Source organism: Homo sapiens, chromosome 3, assembly GCF_000001405.40.
Source record: "Homo sapiens chromosome 3, GRCh38.p14 Primary Assembly".
NCBI classification, from domain to species: domain Eukaryota; kingdom Metazoa; phylum Chordata; class Mammalia; order Primates; family Hominidae; genus Homo; species Homo sapiens.
Genome location: NC_000003.12, coordinates 149347504 through 149367205, shown reverse-complemented (window position 1 = coordinate 149367205; position 19702 = coordinate 149347504). Strand labels below are relative to the sequence as shown.

General features: G+C 39.4%; 1 pseudogene; it reads left to right on the top strand.

The window, feature by feature from the left end:
- RPS25P5 (ribosomal protein S25 pseudogene 5) lies at nucleotides 9602-10083 on the top strand (annotated as a pseudogene).

Below are 19702 nucleotides of genomic sequence, written 5' to 3'. Positions count from 1 at the left end.
GTAGACATTGTCATCACCTGAAGGAAATAGCTTACACAAATTACCTTACACCCTCCTTAAGTTCTGTTTATAGCCTACGCTCCTGGTTTGTAATATTCTAGGCCTTTCAATTTGGCTGGAAACTCCCTCAGGGGTTGTACTAAAACAGCTCATTCTTACCTGACAACATTAAAACAATAAAAATTACTGTAGAATCTGAATCACTTGAATAGTACACGTGGCCTCTGAGTGTCAATTTACCATAGTGACCAAATTTACAAATACATTCCTACATAAAGGAAATCTCATGCACTGAAATCTCAGACAATTGATAGAATGCTACCTTTACCACAGTATGAGTTTCTTGTATGTGTGTGAGATCTTTTTCATTGTTTTCTCTGATGCTTACCCATGGTGAGAACAGGTATGGGATTTGATGCAACTTTTCAGAAAAGCCATTTGGTGATCTGTGTCTACAATATATAAAGCCTACACATCCTTTAGCCAAGTATTTTTACTTGTAGAAATTTATTTTAAGAAAATCATCAAGGATGTTCACAATAGTTCAGTTTCCAGTAATAATTATGGGAGTATTGTTTGTAACACCAGGAAAAATGGCAAGAGCCTAAATCTCTGATAACAAGGAATTGGTTTGATAAATGTAGTCAGTGGCTGTTAAATCAGGGTAAATGTATGAACCGCACAACATTACATGAAAGAGAAAGTTTCGAAAATATAGAAAAGAAGGGTTCTATGTCTTTCTCTACTAGGTATATGTATATTATAAATACCCTTTAAATATATTACTGAAAAGGAATTTCAATCAGATTCAATGTGATTTTTGTCTTGATTCATTTCGCTTATCTATACTTTCTGAAATTTCTACCATAAGCACATATTACTTTTAGAAATAAAACAAAAATGAGATGAGAAGAAAGATTCAGTCCTAAAATAATTCAGGGAGGAGCCCGCAGTCTTTAAGGGAAACTCCCCAGGTATGTAAGAAAACCATTGTTCTTGTGCTTGGACAGAGGAGTCATCCTACAGTAAATACAGGGGAATAATTATGCCTGCAATTAGGTGAAGGGATGGGCCAGGTGAGGCTGGCAGTAACCATAGGCTAAAAATATAATGGGGAGCCTATAATTTCAATTGCATGTTTGGGAAATGTTAAGTGCACAGTTTCTTCTTAGACAAGCCACCAAGTAAGATTTTTACAAATATCAACCATGTATCTGTTTTCTGTATTTTAAAACGAAATGGCATACCTTTACTTTGAACATTGGCTTTTTATCAGGGCTTTGTGTACTACAGCTTGGATTTTCCTTATTTTAATTTTCTCTGCTCACTGCAACCTCTGCCTCCTGAGTTCAAGCGAGTCTCCTGTCTCAGCCTCCCAAGTGGCTGGGATTACAGGCTTATGCCACCATGCCTGGCTAATTTTTGTATTTTTAGTAGAGACAGGGTTTCACCATGTTGGCCAGGCTGGTTTCGAACTCCTGACGTCGTGATCCTCCCACCTCAGCCTCCCAACGTGCTGGGATTACAGGTGTGAGCCACCCTACCTGGCCCTCCTTCTCTTAACATTAAATAGTTTGTGTATGCAAGTCCTGGCAAATTTAGACACATATTTTAATTATTGTAGTTAAATAAGTCTACTAGGTTTTTCTGGAGCTAGATTTCATGTTACTTCCTAGAATCAATTATTTGCTCTCATTTCTCTCTCTCTCTTTTTCTCTCTTTCTCTCTCTCTCTTTCTCACACACACACACACACACACAAACACACACACACACACACTTTCCTAATATACAGCAATTAAAAAGAACAAACTACTGCTGCATGAGACAACGTGGATGAATCTTGTAAATAATGAGAATCAAGGCCAGGCGCTGTGGCTCAGGCCTGTAATCCCAGCACTTCGGGAGGCCAAGACAGGCGGATCACCTGAAGTCAGGAGTTCAAGACAAGCCTGGCCAACATAGCGAAACCCTATCTCAACTAAAAATACAAAAATTAGCTGGGCATGGTGGTGCATGTCTATAATCTCAGCTACTGGGAAGGCTGAAACAGGAGAATCGCTTGTACCCAGGAGGTCGAGGTTATAGTGAGCCAAGATGGCACCACTGCAGTCCAGCCTGGGTAACAGAGCGAGAATCTGTCTTAAATAAATAAATAAATAGAATTAAAACAATCTCTCCTCCCTCCCTGCCCCCCAATTCTGGATGTAATCTCAGCTAATGTAGCTAACTCCTTGAGACAGAGACAGTAGATCTCTTATGAACATTTCACACACAGATTTTCGTATAGGAGCAATAATAGTTTCCCAAGAGGTGCCATTTCAAGTACCTGTGATCAGTCATTGCAGCCTGCAACTAGAAAGCTCTGTGTCAAGCATTACACTAGCTACTAATCCTCACCACACCCCTCTTTGTTACATGTGTACAGATATCCTTGATTCGTGTGCAAGACTAAGGGCCAATTGAAATGGCCACTACTGTCTCAGATGATAGATGATATCCATATAATAAACTGTCATATATTCAATACATGAAAGAATCCCACAAATATTAAGAACCCAAACCATCTACTCCCTCCTCCACCAAGACTCACATAACTTGGGCAAGGAGAATCAAAACCATAAACTGCTCCACAGCTTACTGTTAACATTCTCATGATTTTATTATTCCATACTCTTCTTGAGCACAGTTTTACTATTCCAGGAGACTCTTTCCTAAGCAAATAACTTTATTATTTATTATTGGGATCTCTGAAAGATCCACCATCTCCTCAATAGAAAACATCAACAGTTTATATCTCAAGAGCCTTTGAACCACCAACTCAAAGTCCTGCCTTGCTGTTTCCCCCAGTCTTAAACAATCGTATCATAATCTTTACTGAAGGCTTCCTGTCTTTGGGTTTCTTTTTTTTTTTTTTTTTTAACACCATGACCAAATAGTATTTATTTCAGGTATCAAAGTCTGGTGCAACATTTGAAAATTGAGTAATGTAATCCATCACACCAACAGGGTATAGAGGAAAAATCACAGGATTATATCACTAGATATAGAAAAAGTATTTGACAAAATTCAACACTCATTAATGATAAAAACTCCCAGCAAGCTGGAAATAGAGGAGAACTTCCTCAACTTGATGAAGAACATCTATGAAAAAGTAGCTAACGTAATACTTAAAGGTGAGGAACTAGAAACTTTCCCACTAAGACTGTGTACAAAGCAAAGTTATCTCCTCTCACCATTCCTTTTCTTTTTGTTTTCGTTTCTTCTTTTTTAAGTTTTTTCATTATTTTTTTTATTTTTTATTTTTTATTTTTTTTTTATACTTTTAAGTTCTGGGGTACATGTGGGGTACAATGTTCTGGGAACAAAGAGGGGTATGGTAGGAATTAGTAGCAAGTGGAATGTTTGACACAGAGCCTTCTAGTTGTAGGCTACAACTAGTGAACATAGATATCTTGAAAAAGCACCTCTTACAGAAATGTAGTGCTGTTTCTATACAAAAACCTATGTGTGATTCCTTTGAATTCATTGACATGAAAAATAAATAAATAAATAAATAAAAATAAAACACAAAACTTGTGTGTGAAATGTTTCAATGGGGTAGAATAATATCCATCATTCTATTGATGGACATTTGAGTTGCTTTCAGGGATCTTAGCTGTTTTCAGGGATCTTAGGAAATATGCTGCTGTGGTCATTTTTGTACATGTCTTTTGGTGCATTCGGTGCGTATGAGAACACATTGATTTTTGTTTGTTTGTTTGTTTGTTTGTTGTCAAGGAATCAAACTGCTAGTGGAGCTTCTTTTGTTTTGTGTTAGTTAGCATCCCAAGGTTCCCAGAGTTTTCCTCTAGCCTAGCACTCTCAAGGTTTGGCTCATCTCTTCCTGCCTGGGGGACTTCCAGTCACTCACTGATTCAGTATTTATGGATTGTTCATTGCATGTCATGCACTGCACAAGGTGCTGAGGACACAGCTGTGAACAAGATTTTCCAGGCTCTGTGAGAGCAGAGACCTTGACTGTGTTGCTCACTATTGCATTGCCAACTTCTAAAATAGTGCCTGGCATATAGTAGGTGCTCAGTAATCCGGGGTCAGCAAACTATGGCCCACGGGACAAATCTGGTCTGCTGCCTGCTTTGTCAATGGAATTTTATGGGAATACAGCAACACTGTTTTGTTTACATGTTGTGTATGGTTGCTTTTCCCCTATAATGGCAGAGCTGAACAGTTGACAGAGACTACATGTCACACAAAGCCTGAAATATTTATTCTGTGGTCTTTTGCGGGAAAAGTTTGTTTCTAATGTAGCTGGCTATTTGCCTAGATAAAAATGGATACTTCTATTACAATGGAAAAGGAGATAAATTTTTGTTAATTTTATACTTATGATAGAAGTTTTCCAATATATTTTTTAAAATAAAGAAGTAAAGAGGGGAGAAACTGAGCCTGATTTACCCACCACCCAGCTAGAAGAACATATGAGTTTCCTAGGGCTGCCAAAACAAAGTCCGACAAACTGGTAGGTAGCTTAGAAAAACAGAAATATATTGTCTCATGTTTCTGGAGGCCAGAAGTCTGAAATCGTGTCAGCAGGCTCATGCTCCCTCTGAAGGCACTGGGAAAGGATCAGTTACAGACCTCTCTCCTAGCTCCGGGAAACGTCAGACATTCCTTGGCTTGTAGATGGTCATCTTCTCCCTGTGTCTCCTCACATTGTCATCCCTCATGTCTGCCTCTCTGTCCAAATTTCTTCCTTTTTATAAGGACACCAGTCATGTTGGATTAAGGCTCACTCTAATGACTTCGTTTTAACTTGATTACCTCTGTGAAGCCTGTATTTCCAAAAAAGGTCGCACTCTAAAGTGTATGGACCTCAACATGTCTTTTTTAAGAAGACACAACTCAACTCATAACAGAGAAAGAGATAGCAGTCTCTGAGACCTCAGTAGCATCTTCTGAACTAAACATGTCTTATGAGACGCCCTTGAAAAAATCTGGGAAATAATATATACCAAATAAATCTTCCCAAAGATTCACTACACACATGGACCTTCCACTAGCTCTGAAAAGTCTTGTTGTAAAAACCTATTTAACTCAAAACATCTGAATTATTTAACTATGAGACCGTGGGGCTACAGCTTTGGAAAGAGAATGAATAGCAGATGTAAAAAAAAGCACAGAGCTGGAAACATAGCAAACACTCATTAAATGATAATAGGTGGAGTTCAGAAGAGTACTTCAACGACAACCAAAAGCTTAGGATGACAGAAGAGAATTCATTACATTATTAGCTGCTGCCTGTTCAGTGGATGGGAACACGGATATGCTTTGTCCGTGTCTTCTGCACTCAAACAGGTCTGCAGGGCTTCTACCCTGTTGTTCTTGCTCCAATTCTCTAGGAAAATACTATGTGTCCTTTAAACAAATCAGCTACCTGGGTTTGTAAGGGGAGTCCTGATTTCCAATGTCACAACTTTGGAGAAAAAAAGTCCTATCGTAGCTGACTTGTAATAGTCTTCTCTAAGTGGGAGAGACAATAGAATTTCAGAGATAGAAATACCGCTCAATATTTCTTAATCCCAGTAATGCTTATCATAGGGTATCCTTGTACATAAGTGTGGGCAATAGTATATTTCACCTACAATCCCCTGCAGAGGTTGAAAAGAGACTTCCATGTACATTTGCCTACGCCTCCTTTTATGCATGGGAGTAGAGGCATGGGCGGCAAGGACATGCTGTGGATGAGGGGCACATAAAGCTTAAGGTTGGAAAAAGACAGAAATGAAATGACATATTAGTAAATAGTTTCTGCAAAGGCAAGCTAGGTGATTCAGTCTTCAGTGTCCCTGGCCAGAGCATCAAGGTGCCCTGTGAGTCAGGCAACCTGAAAGCAATTGGGTGGTTTTTTGTGTTTTTTTTTTTTTTTTTTTTTTTTTTGGCCCAAAGAAGCATCACATTGCAGGTCATCGTGAGTCTCATTTTGCAGAGTGAGAGAAATATCCACATCCACTTTGTCAGGGCTTCTTATGCATGTGAGGGCATCAGGGTTTCATGGTTGTAGAGCCATGCCAGGTGGGAGAACTGGGCTCAGGTACAGAGAAAAAGAATAAGGAGGGCTGCAGAGGCTCCCTGGGCCCTCCTTAACCACCACCCTTTCCATGTTTCCCCATCTTCCACTCTTCCATTGGCAACACTCAGAAACAGGTTTGAAGGTACAGCAAACTAAGCAGTTCCCATAGACCAGAAGTAGGCATTTTTTTCTCCCATTTGGCTTTGTGAATATTAATTTTTTTTCTTTGGAAATTAGTCTCTCTTTAATGTCACAGAGAATTAAATGACAACTGTGTTCTTAATGTCACAGGGAATTAAATAACAACTGTGAAGTACATAGAAAGTAGCTTTAAGTAGCTGAGCAACCATATGATTTGAATAACTGAAGAAACAGGGTGCTGGGCTTCACTCAAGAATCTTTTGTTTGGGTCGTGGTTGCTCATCTTGGACAAGTCACTTTTTCTCTCTGAGCCTCAGTTTCCTAATCTGTAAAATAGAGATTATAATATTATCTCTACCTGAATACCAAGATTGGGATGGTTCAATTAGATCCCATATGAAAATTCATCATAAACTATAAAGTTATGTGTCAGATATGATTACTTTGGCCACAAAAAATTAGAACTGTAGTTCTATTATACAATTGCCTCCTTAGTTCTTGCCCCATTTTCCCCTTCCTCACAGGACTTTGGGATTCTTCTTCCCAGCTTTATTGAAGTATAACTGAATAAATAAAAATTTTATATATTCAAGATGTAGAATGTGATGATTTGATATACATATACATTGTGAATTGATTACCACAATTAAGTTAACACATCCATCACTCCGCATAGTTACCATTTCTGTGTGTGTGTGTGTGTGTGTGTATGCGTGCAGTGAGAACACTTACAATCTACCCTCTTAGCAAATTTCAAGTATACAATACAGTATTATAAACTATAAGCACCATGCTGTACATTAAATCCTCAGAATTTACTTATCTTATATCAGAAAGTCTGTATCTTTTGCCAACATCTCCTGATTTTCCCCACCATCAGACCCCTGACAACCATCATTCTATCCTCTGCTTCTATAAGTTCAACTTCTTAAGATTTTACATATAAGTGAGATCCTGCAGTATTTTTTTCTTTCTATATCTGGCTTATTTCACTTAGCACAATGTCCTGCAAGTTCACCCATGTTGTTGAAAGTTGAAGAATTTACTTATTTTTTTATGACTTAAATATTTCACATATATATTTTCTTTATTCATCTGTCAATGGACACTTAATACTGAAATTAACATGGAAGTATAGATATCTCATCAAGGTACTGATTTCATTTCCTTTGAATGTATTAAACCCAGAATTGAGATTGCTAGATTATATATTAGTTCTAGTTTTATTTTTTTGAGGAAGCTTCATACTGTTTTCTATAATGGCTGTACTCATGTTAAAGGCATTCCCACCAACAGTGCGCAAGGGTTCCCTTTTCTCCACACCCTTGACAATGTTTGTTATCTCTTGTCTTTTTCATAATAGTCATCCTAACAGGTGTGAGGTGATATGGCATTGTGGTCTTGATTTGCATTTTCCTGATGATTAGTGATGCTGAGCACCTTTTCATAAACCTGTTGGCCACTTGTTTGTCTTCTTTGGAAAAATGTCTATTTGGGTTTGTTTGTTTGTTTGTTTGTTTGTTGCTATTAAGTTCCCTATATATTGTGGACATTAACCACTTATCAGATATATGATTTGCAAATATTTTCTCCCATTTCATAGGTTGCCTTCTCATTTTGTCAATTGTTTCCTTTGCTGTGCAGAAGCTTTTTAGTTTGATGCAATCCCAGCAAGTCATTTTATGGGTGTCAAGACTGATTTTAAAGTTTATATGGAAAGGCAAAAGATCCACAGTAGCCAACATGATGTTGCAGGAGAAGAGCAGCATTACAGCACTGACACTGTCTGATCTGACTTCAAGACTTACTATAAAAGCTACAGTCATCAAGACAATATAGTATTGGTGAAAGAATAGAACAATAGATCAATGAAACAGAATAGAGCCCAGAAATCGACCCACATAAATATAGGCAAGTGATCTTTGACAAAGGAGCAAAGTCAATATAATAGAGAAAAGACAGTTTTTTTCAATAAATGGTGTTGAAACAACTGAACGTCACATGCCAAAAAAGAAATCCAGACACAGAACTTATACCTTTCACAAAAATTAACTCAAAATGGATCATTGACCTAAATGTGAAATGTAAAATTATAAAACTCCCAGAAGATAACATTGTAGAAAGCATAGATGACCTATGGAGATGACTTTCTAAGATATAACACCCAAGGCACAATCTATAAAAGAAATAATTGACAAGTTGGACTTCACTAAAATTAAAATCTTCTGCTCCACGAAAGACTCTATCAAAAGGAATCAGAAGACAAATAACAGATTGGAAGAGAATATTTGCAAAATACTTATCTGTTAAAGGACTGTTACACAAAATATACAAAGAACTCTCAAAACTCAACATAAGAAAACAAACAACCTGATTAAAAAATGGATGAAAGACCCGACCAGACACATCATCAAAAAATACACACAGAAGACAAATAGGCATATTAAAAGATGCTCAACATCAGATATCAGTAGAGATTTCTAATTAAAACAAGATACCATAATAATCCTATTAGAATGGTCAAGGTCCTTAACATTGACAACACCAAATACAGGTGAGGATGTGGAGTAAGAAGAGCTCTCATCCGTTGCTGATGGGAATGCAGTTTTAGAAGACAGTTTGACAGTTTTTTACAAAACTAAATATACTCTTACCATACAATCCAATAATTACACTCTTTGGTATTTACCCAAATAAGTAGAAATTTTATATTCACACAAAAATCTATGCAAGCAGCTTTATTTATAGTTGCCAAAACGCTTGGAAGCAACCAAGATGTCCTTCAGTAGATGAATGAATAAATAAACTGTGATACATCTGGACTTCTGCACTGTGGGATATTATCTAGCACTAAAAAGAAATGATCTATAAAATGATGAAAAGACATGGAGAAACCTTAAATGTATATTATGAAGTGAAAGAAGCCAATCTGAAAATACTACATATGGTATGATTCCAACTATAAATGCCACGGAAAAGGCAACACTATGGAGACAGTAACTAGATCAGTGGTTGCCAAGTGTTAGTGAGGAGGGAGGGAGGAATAGGTGGAGCATAAAGGAATTTTAAGAGAGTGAAACTACTCTGTATGACATCATAATGGTGGATATATGTCATTACTCATTTGTCCAAGTCGATAGAATATACAACAGCAAGTGAACTCTAATGTACATTATGGACTTTTAGTGATAATGATGTGTCAGTGGAAGTTCATCAATCACAACTAATTTACTGCTCTGATGCAGGATGTTGGAAGTGAGGGAGATTTTGTGTGTATGGAGGTGGCTGCAGGGTTGGGGGTGGGGAAAGAAGGTATATGTGAGCTGACCCCTCTTTGCTTTCAGTTCAATGTTGCTGTGAACTTAAAAGTGATCTTAAAACTAAATAGCTTTTTGTCTGACATCTTAGCGAGGTTAAAGTGGTTGCTGCTGTCCCCTGGGCATCGCGATGCTGCCCAAGGACGACAGGAAGAAGAAAGACACTGGAAAGTCAGACAAGAAAGACAGAGACCCAATGAACAAATCTGGTGGCAAGGACAGAAAGAAGAAGTGGTCCAAAGGCAAAGTTTGGGACAAGCTCAATAACCTAGTCTTGTTTGACAAAGCTACATATGACATACTCAGTAAGAAAGTCCCAACAGTAAGCTTATAACCCCAACTGAGGTCTCTGAGAGACTGAAAATTAAAAGTTGTCTGTCCAGGGCAGCCTTTCAGGAGCTGTTTAGTAACAGACTTATCAAACTAGTTTCAGTGCACAGAGCTCAAATAATTTACACCAGAAACACCTAGTGCGGAGGTGCTCCAGCTTCTGGTGAAGATGCAGGAACAGGCCCAACAAATTGTATATTTGGAAAAATAAAACCAAATAAAATAAAATAAGGTCTGCATTAAAAATATCACCCAACAGCTTTCAAAATTCCCAAAGCCTAGGCCAAACCCCAAATCAATTACCTCAGGATATATGAGGTGCGACCTAGACATCAGTAAGTTTTTAATAGAGCCCATGAATCTCAAAGTACTGCCAAGGCTGAGAACTACTGCCCTAGAGAATGCTACTCAATTAGAGTTAGGTTAGACTCACCACTTGAATCTCACTTAGAGTTAGATTAGAACTGCCAGTTAGAATTACCCAGGCACTTTAAAAAATATATATAGATGACCAAGCCCCACTTGCTGAAATTCTGACTCATTTGATCTGGAGCAACGCCTGGGTATTAGTATTTTTAAAAGCTCTTCGGATGATTCTAGTATAAAGCCATGATTGAGAATCACTGATCTCAAGAATGGTAAATTCCTAGAACATATGCTTCCAACACTCAGTTCTACCCCCATGGCAAACATCGCTACTCATTCTGCTTGCCAGTGAGCCTAGGCTTTGAAATCCACCTCTCCTCAGCCTGTCAAGCAGGATCAATAATTGATCTGAGTTGCCAGTGGAATTCCCTTTGGCATCTCTGAATTATACATCTATTCCATCCCCCAACCAGAGATGGCTTCGTTGGACCTGACCAGCTCCATTCCTGCCTCCATCTCCATGACTTGAAAAATCTGACATTTTCATAGGAAAGCTCTCCAAGGCTGTGACCCTTTGACAGCTGTTCAGGCTTTAGGACAATGCTGTACATTCATACTGTGCCTACAATCTTCATATCTCAAGGACTTTCTGCAAACATTAACTCGTTTGTTTGAAAATGTCTGGCGTTGTGAGGTCTAATGAGATAATGTTTATGAAACACTCTGTGTTCCCAAGATGAGAGACAGCATGTTATTCACGTAAAAGGCACATTGAGAGGTCTCTGAAAACTCTCGCCCAACTTGGCTGCCTTTTTTGCTTTGCGGTGAAAATCCTTTAAGGCCAAGGGATGGGCCACACCACCATTCTTTAGAGAAGGTGCAGTGACATGGGAAGGGGAGCAGTGAGAACAGCCTGGTAGAACTCCAGCTTCTATCATTTTTTAGTTTTGTGATCTTAAGCAAGTTTCATAGCATCCTTCAGCTTCTCTTCCCTCATATGTCCGACGGGAATGATAATGTCTGGCTCAGGTAACGTAAGTGAGAATGCTGGCATGGAGTAGACATTCAGTGTCAGTTATTCTAAGGAGCTGGGAACTGCCTTAGGCTGATTTTTAAAGGGTCCCATAGGCAGTACATTCTCAATTAAGCAGAATAAAATGTAGAGGACAGTGCTGATTAAGAATCTGGAAAAGAGCCTTCCTTTGATTAACATGAGAATGAGAAGAATTTATGTCTTCAAAACACTTCCCATGCGGATTAATAGTTAAGAACAAGATCTGTGTTCACTCTGAGAGGCCGAGGCGGGCGGATCACGAGGTCAGGAGATTGAGACCATCCTCTGCTTTTTGTATTTTTAGTAGACCGTCTCTACTAAAAATACAAAAAGTTAGCTGGGTGTGGTGGCGGGCGCCTGTAGTCCCAGCTACTCGGGAGGCTGAGGCAGGAGAATGGCGTGAACCCGGGAGGCGGAGCTTACAGTGAGCCAAGATCACGCCACTACACTCCAGCCTGGGCGACAGAGCAAGACTCCATCTCAAAAACAAACAAACAAACAAACAAAAAACTCTCTTCTGAGTCCTGCTTTATCCTAGAAGTCATGTTATATCCATCTCTATTAAGAACAAAACCTTTCAACAAACATATACTGACTGGCTACTCCTCATCAAGCCGAATAATGAGGATGAAAAGAAAGCTTTTATTTTCCCAGTGTATGAGAAGAAATCCCTGTTACAAAATGCAGATAATATGTTTCATCAATTATAAGATGCACATTTTTGTCACCCGATAACATACCTGAAATTTGCGTGTATCTTACAATTGAGGGCAGGTCATAGATTCATTAGCAGCATTTTTTGCCCTTTTAACTATTTCATAGACTAGCTCATGGACAGAAGGGCTCATAGATGGGTCATCTTCAAATTGAGGCATCTCAGATTAAGTTAAATATGACAGTAACTATCTCTCAGGATTGTTCAGGGGGTAACCTTGGAAAAGCACTTATTCATTATTTACTGCTACATAGCAGATTACTTCAAAACATAAGAGTTTAAAACAACAGTTTTTTTCTCACAGTTTCTGCGGGCCAGGAATCCAGGAGCAGATTAGCTCAGGTTCTGCCTCAGGGTCTCTGAAGAGGTTACAGTCAAGGTGTCAGCTGGGTCTGCTGTCATCTACGGCTTGCTAGTGGAGGATCCACTTCCAAAATCACCCACACAGCTGTTGGTAGAAGGCTTCAGTTCTCCACACTGTGAGCCTCTCCACAGAGCTTCTTACAATAAGGCAACTGGCTTCTTCTACAGTGAGTGATGAGAAAGAGAGCCCAAGATGGAAGCTGCAGTCTTTTATACCTAATCTTGGAAGTTACCTATTATTCCTTCTTTCATATCCTATTGGTCACACTGGGCAACAATAGTACAAGATGGGAAGGGACTACACAGGAGGCAGGGATCACTGGGAACCACCTTGGAGACTGGCCATCGTAGAACTCAACACACTGAATGATGAAAATAAAATAAGAAATAAGTGTTAGTTTCTTTCCTTTTTACCTCATGTGGATGCTGTTGAAAGAGATTGAGTCTACACTTGAATTTGTATTATCATCAAACTCAATAACTTCAGTCTATGTCAACTCCAGTTGTATATCTGGAGTGGCAACTGGAATGAGAGAAAGATGCTGAAGAGTGTATTTTGTGTCTGACTAGTTGGTATTGTTGGTGACAGATGAAGAGCTTTCACCTATCTTGTATCAAGTTGGAAAATCTTAGAATTTTACTGATATCTGTTTGGAAAGAAATGCTGAAAAAAGCTAACTTAGGCCCTTTTATGTCCTTCTGGCTTCTGTCATATGAGGACACAACAAAAAGGCCCTCATCAGACACCAAATTCCACTGTTTTGACCTTGGACAGCTCAGCTTCCAGGCACTGTGAGAAATAAATTTCTATTGTTTATAAATGACCCAGAGCATAGTATTTTGTTATAGCAGTACAAAAGGTTTAAGATAGGTCACAAGGACAACTCACTGTGGCCCCGGAGTTGAGATATTTTGACAGTCCATGCAAAGTCTATCTACCTAATTCAGTGGGTAGCTGGAACAGACCACTGTGATTGGCCAACTGAACAGGATCACATGAATGCTAGAGGGTAGTTCTCAAAAGGCAAGAAAAAGGAGATTCCAGGTGGTCAAAACAATAATACATGGTTGCTATGAGTGGACATGGTGGGAACCTCACAAGTACCTGGGGTGGAGAGAGGGACATGGAAAATAGAGAGCAGAGTGAGGTGGCTCCAATGACCAGTTGCAATTGGAACTCAGTGGCCCCTGGTCAAATGCTTGTGTATTCAGTGCTGGAAAGTAGAAAACCAGTGCAGATGCTGACAGACCTAACTTAACCACCCACCTCGACTCACTTCCAGCTTCCATCCAGTCTGTACGTAATTCTTCAGCCTTCCAAACCTAATAATACCTCCAGAAATGGAGACACAGGATCATGCTGTGGAAAGAGCAAGTACTAGTAGTCAGGGCCCTCAGTCTCACATTTGCCCCTGACTTGATCAAGTTCACTTCCTTCTCAATAAACATGGCATTAGGCCAGACAATATTTAAGCAGAGTATGGTGGAAATGTGGGCAGGTCTGAGGGTGGGGAAAATAAAAGGATAAAATACCCCTGAGGGATTAGATATATTTAAAATCACAAAGGTATTATATCACAGATCTATAACTTTACTAAAATATAAAAATGAATGAAAATATATTTGGTATTATTTTATCTTAGCCCTGTAAGAGAAGCTAATTTTCTCTTGTGGCTCTTCAGTTTTTAGTAAGAGAAGTGCAAGCAACTTTTTCTTATGGGCCAGGATGAAAAATAGCCTTATGAACTCCCAGGAGGAGTTTTTTCTTAAGGGGATACATATCATTTAAACCACAGAAGAGAGGTAAGTAAAGGGTGAGTAACCTAGATTGTCTAGAAAAAGGTGGTATTAGAGAGACCCTTTATGTTTTCTGAGTTGCAGAGTTGTGTTGGAAATAACACTGCCACCTATCCCTTGGCCATGATTAGAAAGAAACAATGGGAGGCAGTTCTGTAAACAGTGGAATCCATTTGACTCAAAGCTTCTGGGGCCAGCTCCGGTGTACGTAAACTGATTTTATGAATTTAAAGGGCTGCCACACTGGGGCCCCGGGCAGAGCTACATGTTGTGGGAGGCCATTGTCCTCCAAAAAGGGCCATGTGGCCCCAGCAGGGACTGGCACCACCGCCCCACCCCCGGCTCCTCACAGCAGAGATGTTTGGTGAACCAACTGGTCTTCAACAGTGACACCGTGTGGTCTAGAGCAGTAAAGACAGCCCTGACCAATGATCTCTCCCCTTGGGTTGAAGATGCCTGGCTAGCCTAAACCCAAACTTGGGCCGTTGAGAGGTACACTTCAGGAGGGAGGCACTGACCTTCTAAATACTAGGGTAGGCAGGGGATACAGTAATTTGTTTTCAGAGTTGATACATTGAGTTGTTGGAGCAGTTCCTATTGGTTAAATCAAACGTTACAAGTTGACTTTACTTATATTTCTGAAAATTCATAACTACATAATATTGACTTTTGCAAGTTCTTGGGAGCCCTTGAGCATCACACTCCAGGCCACTGAACACAGCTTCATTTCATTTCTTGTTTCACTTCATGGTATGCAAACTTGTTTTTTTGTTATTGTTGTTGTTGTTTTTAAAAAGGAAGAGGGAAGAGTGGGATGACCCAATTTTTGAATTTCAAATAACACTACACTGAATTATTAGGTTTTTCTCTAACGTATCTTTCAGTTGAAATGTCTACAATTTTATATGGAACTGTTTAATTTTTAAAGAATCTCCTGGGAAAGTTATTCATGCCACTCACTATGGTCTTATAGTTGGAATGTTTGATTTTATTTCTAGTTGAACACCGCAGTCTGTTTCTTATGGCATTTTTTAATATATAGGAATATGACTGTGTGAATTAGTCAATGTCTATAGTTCATGTGGTTTAGAGTGTTAGCCCCAGTAAGTGTCAGGCATTGTTCTGGGCATGGAACAGACAGCAGTATAGACCAGAACACAACCTCTCCACTCAAGGAATCTACTTGGCTGGAGAGAAGCACAGGACAGTTTTAGGAGCAGAGAGGAGGAAGATCCGAGCTAATTTCAGTTGCTGCCACTAACTTTGAGAGACATAAAGGCATGTACAAATACCGAAAACCAAAAGTAGAACCAGTTCATGAAATCAATAATTTACATGGGAGGGAATGCTGCTCAGAAATTGTCAGGTGTTGGAGTCAAGGATACTTGGTTTTGAATCCCAGTTCCACATTTACTAAATGTGTGATCTGAGCACATCACCCTATGTGCCTCAGCCTTCTCATCTGTGATTTAGAAAGAATATACATCTACCTTAAAAGAGGTTTAAATTAGATAATACTGGCAAAGTGAAATACTGAGCAGGATTGCTTTATAAATTGAGCTTTATTATACTCATGAAATTGAAACAAAAATTTGTAGATCAATCAGATCATCGATGCATTTTTCTTATGTTCAAATCAAGAGTTGAATCCATTTAATAAAGAGCTACAGGTTTAGACCAGATGAGATTCACCATTGTTAAAAGAAAAACTTTCTAGCTGGGCACAGTGGCTTATGCCTTTAGTCCCATCAACCCAGGAGGCTGAGGTGGGAGGACCACTTAAGGCCAAGAGTTTGAGACAAGCTTGGTCAACATATCAAGACCCCATCTTTAAAAAATAAAAAAAAAATAGCCAAGTATAGTGGCCCACACCTGTAGTCCCAGATACTTAGGAGGCTGAGGCAGGAGGCTTGAGCCCAGAAGTTTGAGGCTGCAGTGACCTATGATCATGCCACTGTACTTCACCCTGGGTGATAGAGTGAGACCCTATCTCTTTACAAAAATTTAGACAATTTAAATTTAACAGAGTTTAATTGAGCAAAAAAGGATTCACGAATTGGGCAGCCTCCTGAACCAAAATAGGTTCAGAGAGACTCTGGCACTGTCGTGTGATGGAAGAAAATTTATGGACAGAAAAAGGAAAGTGGCATACAGAAAACAGAAGTGATGAACAGAAATAGTTGGCTTGGTTACAGCTTGGCATTTGCATTATTTGAACATGGTTTGAATAGTTGGCCACCTTTAGTGGCCAAAACTCAGTGACTGGTAAAAGAGTAAAAGAGTAGGTAACAGCCTGTTTAGACATCCAGTTAGGTAATAGTTCATTATGTATGGAGAAAACTTTAGGCCAGATTTAAAATATGTAAGCAGGCAGCTTTAGGCTGAACTTAACTGAACACCATATTTCTCTAATTCTATGAATCTTGACCTCAGCTACACATTAAAATCACCTGGGGAGTTTTAAAAATACTATCACCTGGGGAGTTTTACAAATACTATCACCTGGGGAGTTTTAAAAATACTGTCGCCCAGACCTCAACCCCAAATAGTGTGATACAATTGGTCTGCAGTACGCTTTGGGGTTTAGGATTTTTAATCAGGAGTTAATGTGCAGCCAGGGTTGGGACCCACTGGTTTAACTGACTATGGAGGTTGAGCAGATCTACGCTTGGGTCACAGGCAACCAGAGCAGTTGCTGATGAGAACTTTCCCCTTATACACCCACATTCTGAGCTAGAAGTGATCTTGGAAACACCATTGGGAAAGGGAGTCACCTCTACCAACTGGTGCTCAAAATTAACTGTATCTCCCATCCTGTTAACCCCTTGAGGCTTTTGTGACCCTATCAGTACCAGGGCAGGTTCCTCAACCAGCAACTGTGGAATGCCTAGAAAGGTGGATTCCAGGGGCAGCTCCATCCTAGCACAGCCAAGAGACTGCCTCTCCCACCTCTCCCATCTTGGCTTTCTTATCTCTTTGCGTGTTAATGGAGATGACAGTGTCCTTCCTACAACCTAGCAGAGTAGTTATTAGGTCCATGAGACTGTGTCAGTAAAGTACATTGTAAACCATGATATATGAATGGAATTAAGTACCCAGTGGAGATTAGACATTATACTTTCTGAAACTGTAAAAACTGCTGTTTCATAAGTCATAGCTTTTGCTGTCCAGTGCTAACTTTTCTACCACCTTGTAGCAGAGCTGTGTTAATTCAGGCATATAAAATCTTGTATACAGAATTACCTTGTTTAGGGAATTGTTATATATAAAACAGAAAATCTGTATACAGGGTTTCACAAAAACAATACTGCAGTGCGCTCTATTTTCTATCCTAATCAATGACCTATCATGACAAATCTAAAATTCATCTAAAAACACCCATTTACCCAGCAGGCTCTGCCTAATGATTCCTTTGTTATGGAAAAATAATTACTATATTTTTTGTTATGCAAATATAGAGCACCAAAATTCATGAAATTTTATAGAGAAAGATAAAAAGTAACCAGAATTCGAATTAAGGATTTTAATTAGTCATGTCAATTTGGGGGTGGAAGGATGCTTTTTAAGCAGAAAGATGCCTTCTGTGTTGTGGTGACTTTGGAAAATGGCTTCTTGTTCTCTGATTTGGACTGCCTAGTGTGTGTGTGTACATGATTGTGTGTTCTTACAGAGTTGTGTGTGTTGTGAGCAGCTGGATGCAGGTGTGGTGCTTGTAGATGGGGATCACAGGAGAAACATGCAGGCTGATCTCTTCAACCCACATCGCAGAAAAAGGCAACTGCCAACCTAACAAAACGTTAAAGGCACTTTCTCAAGAGACAGCCTAGAGCATAGACTCCGTGCAAAGCCACATTACTCAGTTTGAATCTCAGCTTAACTCTTACCAGCAGTATGAATGCAGGCAAGTAATTTCACCTCGCTGTGCCTTAATTTCCTGAAGATAGTAATGGTACCCACTTCATTGGATTGTTGTGAGGATTAAATGAGCTAGTATTGGTAGAACACTTAAAACAGTAGCTGGAAAATAGTAAGCACCATATAAGTGCTAAATAAAATATACTTTTTAACTCAGTTTTATATCATCTGTAATTTACTCCAAGATGCATCAGTATAAACAGACCATATGGGACTTTAAATTAATCTACATCTTAGTGGTGAGAAATTAACACTAAAATACCCAATTTGAGAGTCCTCACTCCAGGAGTCCAGGAGTGGTTAGAGAAGAGTTTCAAATATTGCTATATAAATCTGTATGAGAGGTTACCAGGTAAATTAATTTACTGTTAAGAGGAAAAAAAAGGAAATTATGACAACAACAAAAAAGCAATTTATAGAATAATATGCTTTGTATTGTCATTTACTTTAAAATACATTCATTAGTTCATTCATTCAGCAAACAGTTATAAAGAATCTACTCTGTGCAAAGTGCAGAGATGAAGTGTTGCTGCTTAACTAAGGAACATCAAGGATTGCTGGCAACCACCAAAGCTAGGACATGGGCATGGAACAGATTGTCTCTCAGAACTTCCAGAAGAAACCAACCCTGCCAGCAGCTTAATTTCAGACCTTTAGTCACCTGAACTGGGAGACAATACAATACAGACAATTCTTTTGTTTTAAGCCACCTAGTTTGTGGTAATTTGTTATGCCAGCTATAAGAGGCTGCGACAGATCTGAAATGAACTCACTGCCTACTTGCCCTGTGACAACCAAGGACCTCTACTGCAAGCTGTTGGGGGCAAGCATGGACCAGACCCCAACCAGACCATCCAGACCTTGCACTATAAATCTTGCTCAAGGTGCTATACCCACTGATTGCAGGACCTTAAGGAAGCTGAAATAAGCAGCTCCCACCACAAATCTTACTCAAGGAAGTTAACCCTATCTCCCGCATGCGTACAAGGCCGGGAGAGTGACCAATCCTTAACGTTAGCTTCATTAGAATACTAAAAATCACATCCAGAGGTAGAGAGTTAATATGCTAATAAGACGTGTGATATTTGAAGGAGCAAGAAATCAAACTGTGCAGGTGCTAAAAGTTCCCTGCCTCTGCATGCCTAAACCTCACTCCTTTAAAACTACCTTTCTATCACCTACCGAGGAGGCCAGCCAGAGAATCTCTTTCTTGTGCTACCTCCCTTACGCTTGAACCTTGTCTGAGAAAACTCTTTTGATCTCATGTCAATTTCTTTTTCTTTTTCTTTAAGAGACAGAGTCTCACTATCCTGTCCAGGCTGGTTTCAAACTCTTGGCCTCGAGGGATCCTCCTGCCTCAGCCTCCCAAAGTGCTAGGACTACAAGCATGAGCCACCAAACTTGGCCTCAATTTTTATTGCATTGAGAGCCCAAGACCCCCATGGTAGGTAACAAAACGAATACACATCTCTTTAACTCTTTGTTCTCAGTCCTCTTTCTGGTTTCCTCTTCACAGGCATACTCCTAGTGCAATACAAAGTTTCCATCCTTTGTTAATACTCTCCCCTTATACTGTCTCCATGCCATATCTTGGCCAACAGCCTTACTTTCCAACCCAGTCATCTGGGAAAG